Genomic DNA, 17,018 nt, shown 5'->3' with positions numbered 1-17,018 from the left:
AAACATTGTAAAAAACTTAGAAACCACCACTACATCTCAACTTATGACGGGCTAAATTTACATGGACTTCAAAAGAGGGGAGGTTAGGATTTTTGGGACCTCCACTTTTGAGTTTAAAGGTCAATCTTTGAAATTTTGAAATCAAACAGGTAAATTAATAATGAGAACTAGAGAGTGCAGCAGAAGCTGGGAAGAGAGTCACCTGGTAAGCAAAAAGGCAAGAGCAAAGGTGGCTTCCATATTGGAGGGTGGATGCAGGACTTACATTCCCAGGTTAGTGGAGGAAAGACTCATCTAAGCTTTCTTAAGTTCCCCAGTGTGACTGGGAACAGACTGCCCTGAAAAAAATTCAGATAGGAGCAGATGAAGTTTCTTGACCCCATAGTAGTTGCTCTCCCCACCCACCTCTGCCTCGCCTCACTTTGCACAACTGCCCATCCTGCCTACTGCTCTTGGAGGACTATTAGCAAGTATTCAAGGTGGTCACATTCTTTGATGTTACACATTATATCATCAGCAACCCTGTCCCCCAGCAGAACATAATGCTGTCTGCTGTCTATAGCTCTTTGAAAGTTGCCAAGGTCAATCTGTTTGGACTTAAATACTTGACCTTTTTCTATCAGGCTGCTTAGTTCTTGGCACATCCTATAAAACCTAGTCATTCTTACTATATGCCAGGCCCTGAGGATTCAGGGTCTGCCATTGATGAATGGCAGACACAGTGTTTTCTTTCATGGAGCTTATGTTCTAGCATGAGAGCCAGTCATCACTTAATAATTTGCATAATTTATCCCTCCATTGCAGCTATAAATATTCTGCAGAAGCAGAAGGACTATGGGAGCATGTTACAGAGGCCAGGTTTGGTCAGGAGGTCAGGGAAGGCTTCCCTGAAGAGGAAGTGGCATTGCAGTTGAGACTGAGTCTGTTTGCCTCTGCACATCCACTCTACTTCTTACTCTGAGCCTGACCTTAATTGGCAGCATCCACCGGCTCTCCATCCCATTTGGTTTGGCCAATGGAGACACCTTCAGGAGACTGGAGGGAAGGAGGAGAGTGCCTTCCTTCACTGGAAGCTATAACTCCTCTTCCACAGCTGCAGGTTTCAGTAAAGGCTCCTCCCCTACACGCTTCAGGCCTGGCATGGCAGCGGTTCTTTGTTGCCAGCCCTGGGTGTTTCACCACCTTCTTTTTGGTTTCCCATAACCCTTCTGTATTAATTTCCTGTAGCTGCCTTAACAAAGTACCACAAACTGGGTAGTTAAAACAATATAAACGTATTGTTTCACAGTTCTGGAAGCTGAAAGTTTGAAATCAAGGTGTCAGCAGGGCCATGCACCCTCTGAAACCTGTAGGGGAATCCTTCCTCACCTCTTCCTAGATTTTGGTGGTTTGCTGGAAACTCTGATGGTCTTTGGCTTGGCTCGCACCTGTATCACTCCAGTCTCCGCCTGCACTGTCTCATGGTTTTCTCTCCCTGCGTGTCTTTGTCTTCACTTGGCTGTCATATAGAATGCCAGTCATATTGCATTAGGGGCCCACCATACTCCAGTATGAACTCATTTAAGGTAACTACATCTGCAGTGACCCTATTTCCAAATAAGATCACATTCTAAGGTACTGAGAGTTAATGTGTCCCTTGGGGGACACATTTCAATCCATAACACCTGTCCACAGCTTTGTAAAAGTCCCTTTCATTAAACTCTCTCTAATCACTCCGAGAGTGCCCTGTCTCCTGCTTGGACCCTGCCTGAAACAGGTATGGGGCATGGGTGGGGAAATAACATTCTATGTAACAAATGAGGACATGTATTAAAAAAGCCTTGAGGCAGAAAGAAGTATAGAGGGTTTAAAGCTGTATTAATATCAAAAGAGTAGTTAGCAGGGCTCAAATAAGCCTGTCTTTCTAGAAAATTATTGTTGAACTATCTCAAATTATTCAGGAAGTCATTTTGAAAAGTCCCAAGAATGTGTATTATGTTTATGACTGTGATTTATATCTTCCACCGGTTAGAGGGAATTTTAAGAATTTATTGCTAATGGCCAAAAACAACCTTCCTCTAGGCCTGACTAAGAGAGAAAGCTGGTATGAACAATAAATCAAAGCCAGAGGTAGAAGACAGTACAGGAGAGGACAGGTGATGATGCGGCGGGAGCTTGGGGCAGAGTGTGGCTAGTGCTTCACCAGGTCAGGAGCAGTCAGCTTGGCCTGGGCCTGTGGCAGGACAAGATGGAACTTCAACAAAAACACAGCCTGTCTCAGGGTGCCCAGGTGGAAGGCAGAAACATCCACCAGGGCTCTGCCCTCAGACCCAACCCTCCTCCGGCCCTGTGTAGGCTGTGTTCTTTGTGCTCAGTCATTCCTTCGTGTCAAGGCCAGCAATTAGGCCACAGCTTCCTTGGTCCTGCCAAGGGGATGTCTGTCCCTTCATGTGATTTCTAGAAAAAACTAATTTTTTTATACTCCGTAAAATGGGAGAAGATAACTCATAGGATTTCTGTGAGAAATAAATGAAATTATACTTGTAAACACTTGGCTCATTGCTTAACGATGTTAATTTTCTCTTTGTCATACAAATAATGATACCTGAGACTTGAACAGTTAGTAGGAGAGGCAAGAGTGTTTTTGGGGGCTTTATCCATTCTCCCCCATAATCTCCATCTCTCCAGAATGGAAGGTTTCCCATTCTTTGATGTCTTTCCCAATCTTATGTGCTATGAAAATACAGCCTCAAGGCAAGTTCCTGAGGCATCTTCCAACCAGGTTGCTGTCCTTAGCCTTTCCTCTGCAGAAACTCAGAAGCTGCTATTGCATATTGTGTTGTATGATTTGTAAATGCTGCCTCACGCGTGTGATTTAGTCTGTTCTTATCTCTGGTGTAATCTCCCAAAAGCACCCGTTGAACCCATACTGGTCTTCAAAAATTCTTATTGAAGTGAAATAATTTCTTCTGCCCACAGGATGTCTGATCTGAAAGCATGTTGTGGTCCGCTACACACAAGAGCAAAAGAAGAGCAGGAAGGAGCTCAGTGCCAAGACCATAGCCACAGGAAGAAAACCAGCTCTTAGGGCTGCAGCTCTAAAGACAGGCCAGGTCATTACAGGAACGTCTGCTCCCTTAGCCTTGCCAGACAGAGGAGGGTTAAGAAAGGAACTGCTGACCCTGATATGCAAACTGCCACGAGTGCTTCCTGCCTTTCTATCAGCATCAGATGGCTAGCGATGGATGGCTGTAAGATTGATGTAATTAACATTTTATTTTCAGGGCCACAGTGCTGGTTGGGTGCACCAGACAAATCAACCAACAGATTAAAGAGTGATGGAGAAAGCTGTGTTTTGGGCCTCATTTGGGAACAGAATGGAAGAGCTGAGGGTGGAAGGGACCTCAGCAAGTCTTCTGATCCATGTTTCAACCTTCATTTCCCCGATAACCTCAAGGAGAGAGTTGCTTTTCCTGTTCTTCAAATGAGTTCCTTGAATTCACACTCTATTTCTTTGAATTTGCACAGACTGTTGAGGAACAGGCGGCAGGGTCACTCTACCTCTGCTCAGACAAGCCTGGAAAAGAAAAATTTTACATAGAAGACTGAGCTGGAAGAGGCCTGGGAACTTGGGAATTCCCACTTCCACACTGCCCACTCTAGTTCTCAAGAGGCGGCAGCTATGCTGCAGTACAGACCACTGAATTTAGATTCAGGAATCTGGGTTTATATCTCACTCCTCCTCTTACTTGCAAGTCACTTACCACACCAGGCCTCGGTTTCCTGGACAATAAAATGGGGATAACGTTGCCCCATGTGGTTGTTGGTGGTCATGAAATTATGCACACGAGCACGCCTTGTAATCTAGGTTAGACCTGCACTAACCTAGATTAGCTGACCAGGGTGGAAGGTGGGAGGGGCAGGCTTCAGTGTGTGACTTACCTAGAGGCCAAGGGGAGTCACCATGGATAGGGCAGCACTTGTAAGTCCTCTGCTCTCTCAATGTGGCTCTGAGAATCTCCAGGAAGAACTGGCTGGTTGAATTCTCAACTCTACCAAGAAAGGTGTGCTGGAGACCAGGGTCATAGACGTCTCCTTGTTGATGTACGAAAATCAGGAAGCCGTCTCGGGTCCTCTTTACCAGGACATAGTGTAATTATTCATCTTCTTCCCTGTCAGTTGGCACTGGAAAATTTTGCTTCTTCTAAAAGGAACAAATATCTCTAGCTCTTGTTGCTCCAACAAGGTGTCTGGCTTGATTCCTAAAGTAAATAAATAAATAAACAAATAGATTGATAGAGAATAAATACATCAAGGTAAAAGGAAGACAGAGAAATTAAAAAGCCACATCAGAGTATCAAGGACTGGGGTACCAGCTTGGGGACCACCCTCCTTTTCAGTATTCCCACAAACTCTCCCTGGGACAACTTCATCAGAGGAGTCATTCATTCATTCATTCGTTCGTTCATGCATCTATTTGGCAAGCATCCTCTGGCTTGTATGGTGTTCTCAGTGCTGGGCTGGCTCTGTGGGGAGGACAGTGATTTGTTCTCCCAGGGGTTTGCCAGACCCAGGGAACTACAGGGCCTGTGGTTCTGAGGCTCCAGGGCTGCTCTCAGCTGAGCTGTAGGAGGACACGAGGGCAGATCTCCCCCAAAGCTTCCCTGGAGGACTGAAGCATTCTGCTTCTGGGACAGTCTGTTGGCCCTTTCTTCCACATCTCAACTTTCAGTGTCTCAGCGACTGGCCTATGTACTCTTGGGCTTGCTTGAGGACCTTGAGGAAATGAGTCTAAATCAGCAAATGCCCTTTCCTCAGGGAACAGCCTCGTTAGTTGTGCATGCAGCCTGGGCCCTTTCTCTTTTTGTTGCACATGGCAGCGTCTTCCACCTACAATGAGGCCAAGAGCTTGGCAGGGGTGATGTTGATATTTAGCTTCAGACTGCTGTTAATGCTTCTTTCCCTCATATTTGTGGATGCTTCTTTTATTTTTTATTGTAATATACTTATTTTGGATCTTAAATTTATACAGCAATGCAGCTACTTCCAAGGAAGAAGCCAAAGTGCCAATCTTCCATAAGACAAGAGCCTGTAGCCACGGCACAGGATCTAACACAAAATATTACTGCGTTAAATATAATTTTTAGCAGCAGTTAAATGCCTGCTGCCGTACTCTGTCCATATCAAGTGCCCTGCAAATGTTGATGCTGAATTAAAGAAAACACAAAACAAAACAAACATAATGGGAAGAGGGAGTAAGTAGAGTGGGCGATGAAAATTAAATGAGAAAAAACAAAGTTAAAGCATGAAAAAAGGTTTAATGGAGTATTATAGAATTATCTACTGAAAGGACAAAGTAGAACAAACTAAAAATAAAAAGGCAATATAACAGCTTAGATAAGAGGAATGTAGAGGCAGAGAAAAGCTGGAGAGGTAATTAGGACAATTACCTCCATGCAATGGTTTTCAATCTTGGCCCCACACTGGGACCACCGGGGGAGTTTTAAGAACTACTGAAGCCTAGGTGCCACCCCCACGGAGTCTGATTTCATTAGTCTGGGGTGGGTTTTGGGCAACAGGATTTTAATAACTTCCTTAGATAATTCTGATGTGCAGCCAGGGTTGAAAGCCACTGTGTAACAAAAAGAAGAATTGTAGGACAGTAAAGGCTTATACACTGTTGTACTGAGGGGACAAGGAAGAGGTGTCACCTGTGACCATAGGGCCTGCTGTGGCATTGGGATCGGCCAGTCTTCTGCTCCTTGTCCTTTCTCTATGACCAGCGCGGACCCCCAACACCTTTGCTGCCTGGTGATTGCTCACTTCTTACAAACTTACGTCAGCACCAACCATCTCCCTGTTCCCTTGATCTCTTTCAACAGTGCTGGGCACTTAGTGGGTGCTTAGTAAATATTTGTTAGGTGCTATCATACCTGGCATTCTGGGTCCTTCTGTGCTAGTTGAAATGGGCTAAGTCTGTGTTCTTGGTTTCTCCTCCTAATCCTGCTCTGACCTTTCAGATAGAAATTTTGTCCTATCCAGCTCCCTTCTGAGAGGTAGAATTCAGTTGGGGAGCCCACTAGCTGGGATTCCTTACATTGGGACATCACTGTGTGTGTGTGTGAGATGGAACCCAGCCTGTAGCGCACTGGACTCATAGAGTAATGGGTTCTTGCTATATTTCAACTTTGCATTCTTTTTCCCTCCCTCCCTCCCTCCCTCCCTCCCTCCCTCCCTCCCTCCCTCCCTCCCTCCCTTCCTTCCTTCCTTCCTTCCTTCCTTCCTTCCTCTGTTTTTGTCTTACAATTCCCAGGCTCATGGCAGACCATAGTAATCCAAGGAGACCTACCATTAGGAGTGAAAATGTGTCCAGTTCCCTGAAATGGCAACTTGTTTTTGGAGGGAGATAGATTGCTTTCTGCTCTCCTGGAATTGCAGATTTCACAGTGAAGATTTGCTGCCCCAGGGAGAGCAGTGGGTGGAATGTAAAGTTATTGCTGTCTCTGGAAATCCTCTTTGATTTGTTCTGCTCGCTGGAAGACAGTGGGGGTGTGCTGGTCCCCAGGTAGAACTCAGAGAAGCCACGGCACAGGTTTTCATGCTAATAATAGACTAATCCTGTGTTTTTGTTTGTAGAAGCCCATTTATAAAAAATAAAATAATGGTAATTATGTGCTTCCATTCAACAATATCCCAATAAAGAGGTAAAACTGGAAAAACCTGGATTGGGAGCAGATGGAAAATTAGTTTAAATGGGCCCGAACAGGAGCCCCTCCCTCTTTGTAGTAGTCTCTGCACACAGGAAAAAACATTTCCCACTTTCCTCCTCTGAAGTGGAGCAAAGAATTTTGCTCAAGATTCTTGGTTGGGAGTAGGCTGAGGGGATAGCGCAGTGTTAGAGAGAATATAAATGCTCTTTTCTCCTCCTTTGGTGGTGGGACTTATGGAAATGTAGAGTGTTTAGTGTCTACAGAGAGCTTAAATTTTGTGGCTGGAATCATACTTCTGTGGAATTAAGATTTTATTATATAGATCTTACATTCCTTCAGTTGGCCGATTACCCCTGGGGCACCACAGGGTGGTGACAAGGGTGGGCCCTCCCAGAACCCTAGGGAAACTCCCTGCTTCATCCCCTATGGGGAAGCAAATAACTACCTTTCATCCTTCAATCCAAGGGAGAGGAGAAAGCTGTAGGAGCATTTCTGGGAGTGAGACCCTCCCCCACTCCACCTCCAATGGGAGACAGTGAGATGACCCTATCTACTGGGGTGGGTCTATGATGCCAGAGGAGGGGAGAAGACAGATGGATGGGGACTTGTCCTCTTTCCCTTGGGAGAGGGGTGGTGGGCCCGGCCCTCCGTGCCAGGGGCTCCCATAGTCATTGACAAAAACTTGCATCACGCAACAGTTCCACAGGTACATCCCAATTCTTGAGCTAATATACCTACTACCTTTTGCTTAGTTTTATTACAGACTGGGAGGAAAAAGGAATGAGGCTGAAAGATTGCCAGAACATGGAGTCAGAGCTAACGAGGAAACAATGGAGGAGGAACATGGAATTACTGCAGGATACTTTTGGGAAGGCAGCTGTGTAGGTTTAAAAAAAAAGTGGCTCAGAATGTAGCTTTGGGGGCTAGAAAAGAGTTCCTAAACCATCAAGTGGGAAAGTGAGTACAGTATTTGAGTGGGATCTTAGACTTACAGCAGCTTGGGCCACTATAAACCAGTGTCCTGGTCATGTCCCAGGAACCTCACCCACTGTGCGTCTGCTGCTGTCCCATTGCCATAACCTGCACACCTCAGATATTCTTGCTGGTTATGTGGGGTTTATATTGAGTTTGGTAGTGTGTGGGGACTGGTAAAAGGGCAAGGACTAGAGTAAATACACTTTCTTTATAACATTCACCACAGCTAGAGAAGCCGCAGTTCAGAGTGGCTGTTCTATAATCACCACTGTAGCGCTGTGTTAAAGCCTAGCTTAGAATGCGAGTGCTGTTATAGTCATCATGTATATGACAAGTTAAAGGGCTCTTAACATTGAGCTATGGAATGAATGTTTAGTATGAGTGAATGAAAAGATTATTGAATAGAAATACAAGCTATCCAATTGGCAGGGCTCTAATCGCAAAGTAGTCTGAGCCTGAGTTAGCACACGTGCATAACTGAGTAGTGACTGTGGGAACTTGCGAAGTTACCAAAGGAGGGCAAAGAAAATACTACGTGCAGCACGATTCCTCTTGCATGGTGAACCATCTCAGCATCTATCCCACTGGAATAACATTGTGAGTGGGATCACGGTGCATGACAAAGCATATGGTAGCAATCTAGCCCATCAGCAGTGTCCAGGCTGTGGTGAGAAACCAGAGATGTAGTCTAACAAAAGATGCATAGGGAATGGCACATGCCAAGGAGATGGACTAGAAGAACCCAGGGAAAGAGAATTTTTGGAAGAGTCCACTGACAGCCATCTCTCTGTCAGAATACCTTTTTTAACGAGGTGCCAGCTCACGTCCCAGATTGGTGACCCAGAGGCTGAGCTGAGAGTCACGGCTGCAGCCTGCTTAGATAACTGTTGCCTTTATTGAAACCTGCTGTGTTCGCATTGACTCACAACATGGCTGGGGACTCAGCTGGACAGCATACCAAATGCTGCAATCCAGGGGGCCTTCCTCTTCTGACCTCCCCTTTGGCCCTGAATCTAATCTTCTAAATGCTGAGGAGGCAGCATTATGTGGTTGAATTGTACTCTTGTTGGGTGGGAGCACTTTAGGCAAGCCCTTTGGCACCTTCTTTTTGTCTTTTTATTTTAAAGTAGGGAATAGATCCAAGTGAAGGCTATTGTGAAGAGTAAGTCATCCATGGCTGTAACACACCAGCATCGCCAGATGGGGTGCGGGAATGTAGGCAATTTATAAAACCTTTGCAGCAGCAGCTGCTGTGACCACAAGGGATGATACTGGCTTGATTTAGCATTTTTAAACTTAAGTATTCACCTCATGCTAATGTCTGTAGCTGTGTTCTCTCATTTGAGGTTGTTCATTTGGAAATACAGAAGGATGAGGCATTATTTCTTTAAATAAAATATTCCCTTTCATTACATCTGTGTCTCAGTGATCCCTAAAGCAGAAATTCAGTTCAAACATTAAATTCAATAATCATATATTAAACAGTTACTCTGCAATGCACTACGGAAACTGAAGATGAAACAGACCAAGGATCCCCGCCTCGAGGGGTTTATAAGTCAGGAAGAGGATGAAGGAAGTATGAAAACAATCATGGCAAAAGAGAAAACACATGAAATAACTCAAGAGTGGGAAGTGCTAAGGCGGTTCAATTGGGGGAAGATTATATCCTCAGAGGAGAGTTTTGCACTGGAGATATAAATTTGGGAGTCATGGGCACATATGTGAAATTAATGCTATGAGGGTGAATGAGATCATCTAGGGAGAGATAGAGGAGAGAAGATAGACCCTGGCTGCTTTAGTATTTAGAAGCTGTGTAGTGGAGGAGGAGCCAGCAAGGGGGACTGAGAAGGAGAAGCCAGTGATGAAGAGGAAAATCAGCCAAGAGTGGCATCTCAGAAGCTAAGTGTGGAAAGCATTTCAAGGAGGAATGGGTGGCCAACGGTGTAGCTAACCACTGGGAGGTTGTATGATCACTGGCTATTTACTCATATCCCTGTCTTCTGTCTGTCTCTCTTATTTTAAACTGGCAAGTCCACAGGGCAGGGTGCATGTCTGTTTTGCTCATACCGTGTACTCAATGCCTGGCATAGTACTTGGCACCTAGTAGGACTCAAGATACGTTTGTTGCAGAAAGAAAGGAAGGAGCAAAAGACAGTCTGAAGTGTTTATACTTAATTCAGTAGACAAAGAGTAGTATCTGAATAACATTTTCAGGTTTCTGACATTGAGTTTGGTCTTAGCAAAAAATGCAAGCCTTCTTTTTGAGGCCTGTACAGACCCATTGGCCTTATGCATAGCTCCTCTCAACGTCATTAGGTATCCTTCAGTCTGGATGCACAGAAATGAGGAAACAGCAGGAATCTATCTGACTGAATCCTGCGTAATCCTTTGGGACGGTATTTGCCTATAGAATTTCGTGAGTCTTAATGGCTGTGCCATTACAAAAAGAATTCTGTGATTCCAATCCCACGTTAAATAGGTATCTTTACAGCAGGGGTTCTCAGAGCATTTAATATGGTAATAAGAATTGTAAATATTAAGAGGAGGCTATTAATATGTAGCATTTGCCAAAATTATCTGATGGTGGAATTCTTTTAAATTGTGCAACCACTGTTAACATCTTGAGGGATGGTGACATTCTGAAGAATAATTGGGCAAATGTTGCCCCAGAAGAATTCCAAGAAGAAAAAAAATCATTTTAAATTCCTTTTAAGTTGACAGCAGGAGAAACTCCCCAGGATGGAGACAAATTACATGGGTGGAGTTAAAGGGTATGGTAGGTTATAATTATTATTCTGAAGTATTTGATCCTTCTTTCCATGAAAAAGGGTTATTGCTTCCTACCCATTGCTATGTGTCTTGCAGTGCCTTCTGCAGGAAAGGTGTGAGTCCCTGACTAGTTGATCTTGTGCTTGACCATGGAAGGGCTTTGGCTGATGAATGTGAGTGGACATAATGTCTGCTGTGTCTGAGCAGAAGTTTTAAGAAGTATCTGGAGTTTCTGCTAGCATTTCTCTTGTTCTTTTTCTTCTGTCATAAAAACAGTGTGGAGGGGCATGGTGGCTCATGCCTATAATCTCAGCACTTTGGGTGGTTAAGGCAGGTGGACTGCTTGAGCCCAGTAGTTCGAGACTGGCCTGGGCAACATGGAAAAACCCCATCTCTACAAAATAAAATAAAATAAAATAAAAAATTAGCTAGGTATGGTGGCATGCACACCTGTAGTCCCAGCTACTTGGGAGGCTGAGGTGGGAGAATCGCTTGAGCCCAGGAGGTTGAGGCTGCAGTGAGCTGAGATCGCACCATTGCACTTCAGCCTCTCGGCAACAGAGTGAGATCCTGTCAGAAAAAAAAAGTGTGTCCCAAATAGTGGCTTATCTTTCATCTTGGGCTCTGGAATGGGAAGACAGAGGGAGCAGAGCTCAGCAGCCAATTGGTAGTAAAAGTGGGAACAAAAAGTAAATGTTCATTGCTGTAAGCCACTGAGGTCCTGGCACTGTTAGTTACCATAGCAGAGCTGACTAATACAAAGAGGAAAATATGGAAGGGTGAGATGACTATGGCAGCTGTTTTATTCCAGAGCTCTCAGAAGAGACACAACTTCAGAGGAGAAGCTGAAAGCTGAAGCAGAATGGCTCAGTTTACAGCTGACTCTTTTGTACAGGGCAAAAGTTTTACTCTTGCTCTGATTAAAAACAACTCCATAAATGAAAATGGTTCAATCTAGCCCAGATAAAGATTTATAGATCCAGTGCAGCTACAAGGCGCTGGGATATCTGAGGAGAAATCTCAATATTTCACACCAAATGAAATCAAAGAACACACCAAAGTGAAAGTTCACAGCCAGCCCCACTGGCGTGGTTGCTGCTCTGCAGGGCATTTGACTAGTCTCTCTGGGTTTCCTCACATTGGCAGGATGAGGATAGGTCAGTGCACCAGTGGTACCAAATTCTGGGAAAGCCCAGAGGTTTGGGACATCTCTTTAATAAGAACAGAAAGTTATTAATAAAAGGAGTGATCATCATTCAAGGAAATAATATTCTCCTTTTCCTCTCCCCTTCCTCTTTACTTTTCTTAATTCTTTATCTTCCCAACCCATACCACTACCATTTTGGCTGCTCTGTTTTGCGGTGTGTACAATAGCAGCATTTTGGAAGTATCTAAGTTTTACTTGGCAGGGAACTAACTACATTCTGTGGTTATAGAACCCCTATGAAAGCTTTGATATAAATTCATTTTCCCACAAAAAGAAGCTGATTGTGTCTAGTCTGGGGTTTTGTATTTTTCCATAAAATTTCAGTTTATTTAGTTTCATTTTTTTAATTTAAAAATTTTTTATTTTACTTTAAGTTCCAGGATACAAGTGCAGAGTGTGCAGGTTTGTTACATAGGTATACATGTGCCATGGTGGTTTTCAGCATATTTTTGGCTGTTTTTCAATATTTTATGTTTTCTTTTTATTTTAATAGAGATGGGGTCTTGCTTTGTCGCCCAGGCTGGTCTTGAACTCCTGGGCCCAAGCAATCCTCCCATATTGGCATCTCAAAGTGTTGGGATTAAAAACAAACAAACAAACAAACAAACAAACAAACAAAGAAAAAAAGTGTTGGGATTACAGGCATGAGACAGCACGTTGGGCCTATTTTCAGTTATTTATTTTCACTGCAAGCATCAGAGATGAAGGTGAGTGTGTTTGTGTGTAACTGTTGAGGATGCTCATCTTCCCTCCTGGGTCATCTTAAGGAACCTGCAAGCACACCTTACCTCGGGGAAACAAGTGCTTTTTCTGTTATGAGCCCGTGTCACCTCCTCTGAGACACCCTCCCCATCTCTAGGCCATCACTTCCTTCTCTGTGTTTTGTTTGCTCCTTTCTCTGTTAGTAAGTTTCTATTTTCATGTCTGTTTCTTCCACTAGGAAGAGCACCTTGAGGACAGGAATTGAGCTTTGGCTGCCTTTGTAACCGAGCGTGTGGCACAGGACCAGGAATATTGTGCGTGCTCAGTACATATTTGAGGGATGAGGATATGCATCCCCATAATTATAGACTTGTGTATTTTAATGATACAGCTACTGAAAATAGCCATGCAAAATGAAAAACACCAAGAGGGATCATCATAAGCCCAGCCAGTAGTCACTGAGAAAATAATAATCATTTTGGGCCCCTCTGATTTCTTCATGTCTAGCTAGACTCTCTGGGCAGGTTTTACTTACCTGTTCAGGGTCCCTATGTGGGAGCTGGCTCAGACCTATGAAGGACCCTCCAATCCTGTTCAGTTGTCCTGTGTGCCCAAGAATGGGCTCTTGAGTATGCCAGACAGAATGAGTAGAAATCAGTGGTTTCTAAGAAGCCTTGGACTCCAGCTCAGGATGACACTGGAGTCTCCGAGACCCCTAAAAAGTGAGAATATGGCAAGGCTTGAGGCCCCACTGCAGCCCAGAGTCTGTGATGATGATCAAATTCTGGGAAGTCCCAGAATGTGGGAAATTCATTCATTTATTCACACAGCTATGTTTATGCGATTTGTCAGGTTGAATAAGCAAATGCAGATATAGTCCTTGATCTCCAGAGCTTACAGACTCATGAGAAAATAGGCATAATCAAATTAATAAAATATTACAAACTGATATATGAAAGCATTAAAGAATAAACAACCTGAAATTGTTAGGAGATCTCAAGATGCCTCTGAAAAGCGGATGTGTAGGCTTTGATCTTTTTTGTTTAACTCCTTTCAATAGGAGTTAAACAGGGGATGAGGAGTGGGAGAAGTGTTGCAAAGACCCTGGGGTGGGAAGGCACCCGGTACATTCAAGTATTTAATAGATGGAAGAAGGCATGTTTGGAAAATGAGGGAGAGAAGAGTGAGAGGTATGGCAGAAGAGGTGAGGAGTCAGACTGTGCAAGGTCTTAGAGGACTTTTAGGGATTTTGGTCATTTGCCTATCTGCAATGGGAAGTTACTCAAGGATTTTTAATCAGGGGCATGACATGATCATATTTGTATTTTGGAGAGATCACTCTGGCTGCTGTGGGGAGGAGATACTGAATAGTACCAGAGGCCGGCTAACTTACTCAAAAGGCTATAGAAACAATCCAAAGAAGAAAATGGTAGTTTTGACCTGGCTGGTGGCAGTGGATGGAGAGCAGTGGATGGGTTTGAAATGATGGTGTTATTCCTTCAGATAGGGAATCTTAGGCTAGGGCCATATTTGCAAGGAAGATCTTGATTTAAGTCTTGGAGTTGAGCTGAAGTGCCTTTGAGACACCCGAGTAGAACTGTTGGTCAGGTGGACACATAGATATTAATTCATGTATTCAACTCACATTTGCTGACTACCCGCTACAGATGAGTCACTCTATTAAGAATTGCATTGGTACAGGAAAATATATTGAACTTGGATGCTTCTCTCAAGGAGTTTAAAATTTATTAGACAGTCATGAGGAATGGTTATACAGGATAGCTATCTTTAAATATTTGAATATGCGAAGGTGAACTTAGTCTGCGTTGCTCTGGAAGGCATAACAAATATAAAGATATGAAGTTATGGGAGGCAAATTTTGATTTGGTATAGGACAGATTTTTTGAAACAAGAATTGTCATTGAAAATATTTGAATTGAGGCTGGGTGATCACTTACTCATTCAATATTTAGTGAACATTTAAACTGAATGAGGGGATTCCTACTTTGTTTTTAAGATCCTTTCTGGATTTCAAATTCAACGATTCTAATTTTCTGTTTAAAATTTTAATTGTTCAAAGTGAAGGTCACAATTTGGATTTCCTTGAGTCCATTTTCTTATTTGGACCCTACCTATATCATCCCTGAGAGCTTTCAAGATGGTGTAATGAGGACTTTCTCAAGGCTGTGGCACCTTCCGAATCGAGAATGTGTTATATGATAGAAGTAACATTCTCTTCGTTGCCCGTCTCTGGTGTCCCGTGATGCAGAGGAAGTGGCATATTCACATGGTTTCAGATTCCCTTATTTTCTCTTGCCTTTCACTCATAGTCATGGTTTCACAATGTTGGATGACCTCTTTGTGAGGGCAGCCAGGTGATGGCACTGTTCCTGAAGCCAGGATGCCTTCTAGCTGCCTTTGGGCATCAGACAGGTATCTTCTTTTTCTAGCCATCCAGCCTGCCCAATGACTCTTCTTGGGAGGCTGGTGAGAGTGGCAAGCCTATTCCTATTCTGACGTCAAATTCAAAGTCTTTTTGAGTGTTGGCAGACACTCTCTGGGATTTCTCTTCACTGCTCTGAACTCTTCCAAGTCAGCCCTTCTCATGATGGATAAGAATCACAGAAAGCAGAACAGTGGAGGCAACAATAATAAGAATTTAGTCAACTCTCAATTGTCCTTACCAGTGGAGGGGGAAGAAAATTAACAATACAGGCTGGTCACGGTGGCTCACGCCTGTTATCCCAGCACTTTGGGAGGCTGAGGCAGGCGATTCGCCTGAGGTCAGGAGTTCGAGACCAGACTGGCCAACATGGCGAAACCCCGTCTCTACTAAAAATACAAAAATTAGCCAGGCGTGGTAGTGGGTGCCTGTAATTCCAGCTATTCGGGAGGCTGAGTCAGAAGAATTGCTTGAACCTGGAAGGAGGAGGGTATGGTAGGCTGAGAACACGCCACTGCACTCCAGCCTGGGTGACAGAATGAGACTCCGTTTCAAAAAAAAAAAAGAAAGAAAGAAAAAAAGAAAATGAATAATACAAAAATAATAGTGGGTGTTCATATCGCTCATTTGGCTTCGGGATTTCTGCAGAGAAACTTGGTCCATGCCCTTACTATGCTAGGGCCTTCAGTGGCCCTGTCTCCCCCTAAATCTGAGGCTTCAGATGTTACATAAAATGCTTCCTTAATTACCTGCTAGTAAGCACAGGAATTATTTAAATTTCTCCAGGTTTTTTACTTTAATTTTTGTCTGGTTTCTTTTTTCATTGTGCGCAGACCCTCAGATTGTTGGGCAGTCCAGGTATTTTCTCCCAGGATTTCCTCCTCCTTGTCTCTAGGCTATTTTTCATGCTAACCCCAGGCCAACCTCTGGTTCTACATTACCCCAATCCATCACGGGCCAGAACTTCATGTCCTCATTCATCCTGCAGGATTGGACCACTGGACGCACACATTCTTGTGTCTCTTGTTCCTCTTCTTCCCAATCAGACTTAATCAGACACCAATAATTTGTGGATCTTTTTTTTTGGCTTGATCTTGAATTGAAGGTATGTGGCACAAGATTCTGGGTTTCCATGGATAATCCATCGTGGTGTGGTAAAAAGTATATTGACTCAGTAAATATTAATCCACTTCCTTATTTGCTTGTGGATGAATGAGAAATGATAAAACCTAGAATTTATGTAATACCTTCCTCTAAGAAGCATACAAGGACTCACTATCACCCCAATAAGAATATTTATTATATTGGTAGTAACACAAATAATCTGTAAACTGAACTGGGGATGACTGACTGCCTATCAGTGAGCCCTGGCGGCACATCAGTATCCCTTCAGGAGATTTTTTACAAGTATGGATTCTTGGGTGACATTTGGGAAAGAGTGATTTATTTTTTTTTTTACCTCCATGAACGTTTTCAATAATGACGAATGCCTAGACCAGTGCTTCTCAAACATTAATATGCATATAATTTACCTGGGGAGTCTTGTTTAAAATGCAGATTCTGATTCAGTGGATCTGGGATGGTGCACGAGATTCTGCATTCTCAAAACCTTCCAGGTGATGCTGATTGTGTTTGTCTAGACTACACTTGGAATAGCAAGGTCTTAAGCCAGTTGCTTTCAACCCCAGGGGGAGGGAAGAGCAAGAGGAGGGGAAGGAGGTTGAGTCATCTGGTAAGCCAGAGCTTCAAGCCCACACCAAATCAATCAAAATCTCTGGAGATGTATCCCAGACACTAGTATTTTCAAAGGATATCCCCAGGTGATTCAAATATGTGGATAGAGTTGAGAACCATTGCTCTAGAGATGCCTTGACCACATCTAATGTCCATTTCTCTGTAGTCAGGGCAGGAGAGCCTGGGCACATGTCACATGGTGAGAGAGGGAGCAAGAGAGAGAGAGGAGGAGGTACCAGGCTCATTTTAAATGATCAGCTCGCTCATGAACTAATAGAGCGAGAACTCATTCATCACCAAGGGGATGGAGCTAAACCATTCATAAGGGATCTTCTCCCATGAACCAGTGCCTTCAACTAGGTCCCACCTCCAACACTGGGAATTACATTTAAACATGAGATCTGGATGGAACACACACCCAAACCATATCAGCCTGTCAACATCCACATGAGTGAACTCGAAGTGTATCTTATTCCGGTTGAGCCTTTAGCTGACTACA

At 43.7% G+C, this 17,018-nt stretch overlaps 1 long non-coding RNA gene and 1 further gene across 4 annotated transcripts in view; one reads left to right on the top strand and one right to left on the bottom strand.

Moving 5' to 3' along the window:
• TRA (T cell receptor alpha locus) overlaps positions 1-17,018 on the bottom strand; it is a 930,229-nt gene that overhangs the window by 130,239 nt on the left and 782,972 nt on the right.
• The window catches only part of TRD-AS1 (TRD antisense RNA 1), a 103,555-nt gene that overhangs the window by 61,066 nt on the left and 25,471 nt on the right, over positions 1-17,018 (top strand). For 2 of the 4 annotated variants that reach the window (NR_148364.1, NR_148363.1), the window contains one exon: positions 2,959-4,269. The exons of the other annotated variants lie outside the window; for them this stretch is intronic. This is a non-coding gene — a long non-coding RNA (TRD antisense RNA 1). Of the gene's footprint in view, positions 1-2,958; positions 4,270-17,018 lie in introns of those variants that run through there. 4 annotated transcript variants of the gene reach the window in all.

Source organism: Homo sapiens, chromosome 14 (genome assembly GCF_000001405.40).
Source record: "Homo sapiens chromosome 14, GRCh38.p14 Primary Assembly".
NCBI lineage: Eukaryota > Metazoa > Chordata > Mammalia > Primates > Hominidae > Homo > Homo sapiens.
Note: the sequence above shows the minus strand (reverse complement) of the source record. Positions and strands in the feature narration are given on the sequence as shown.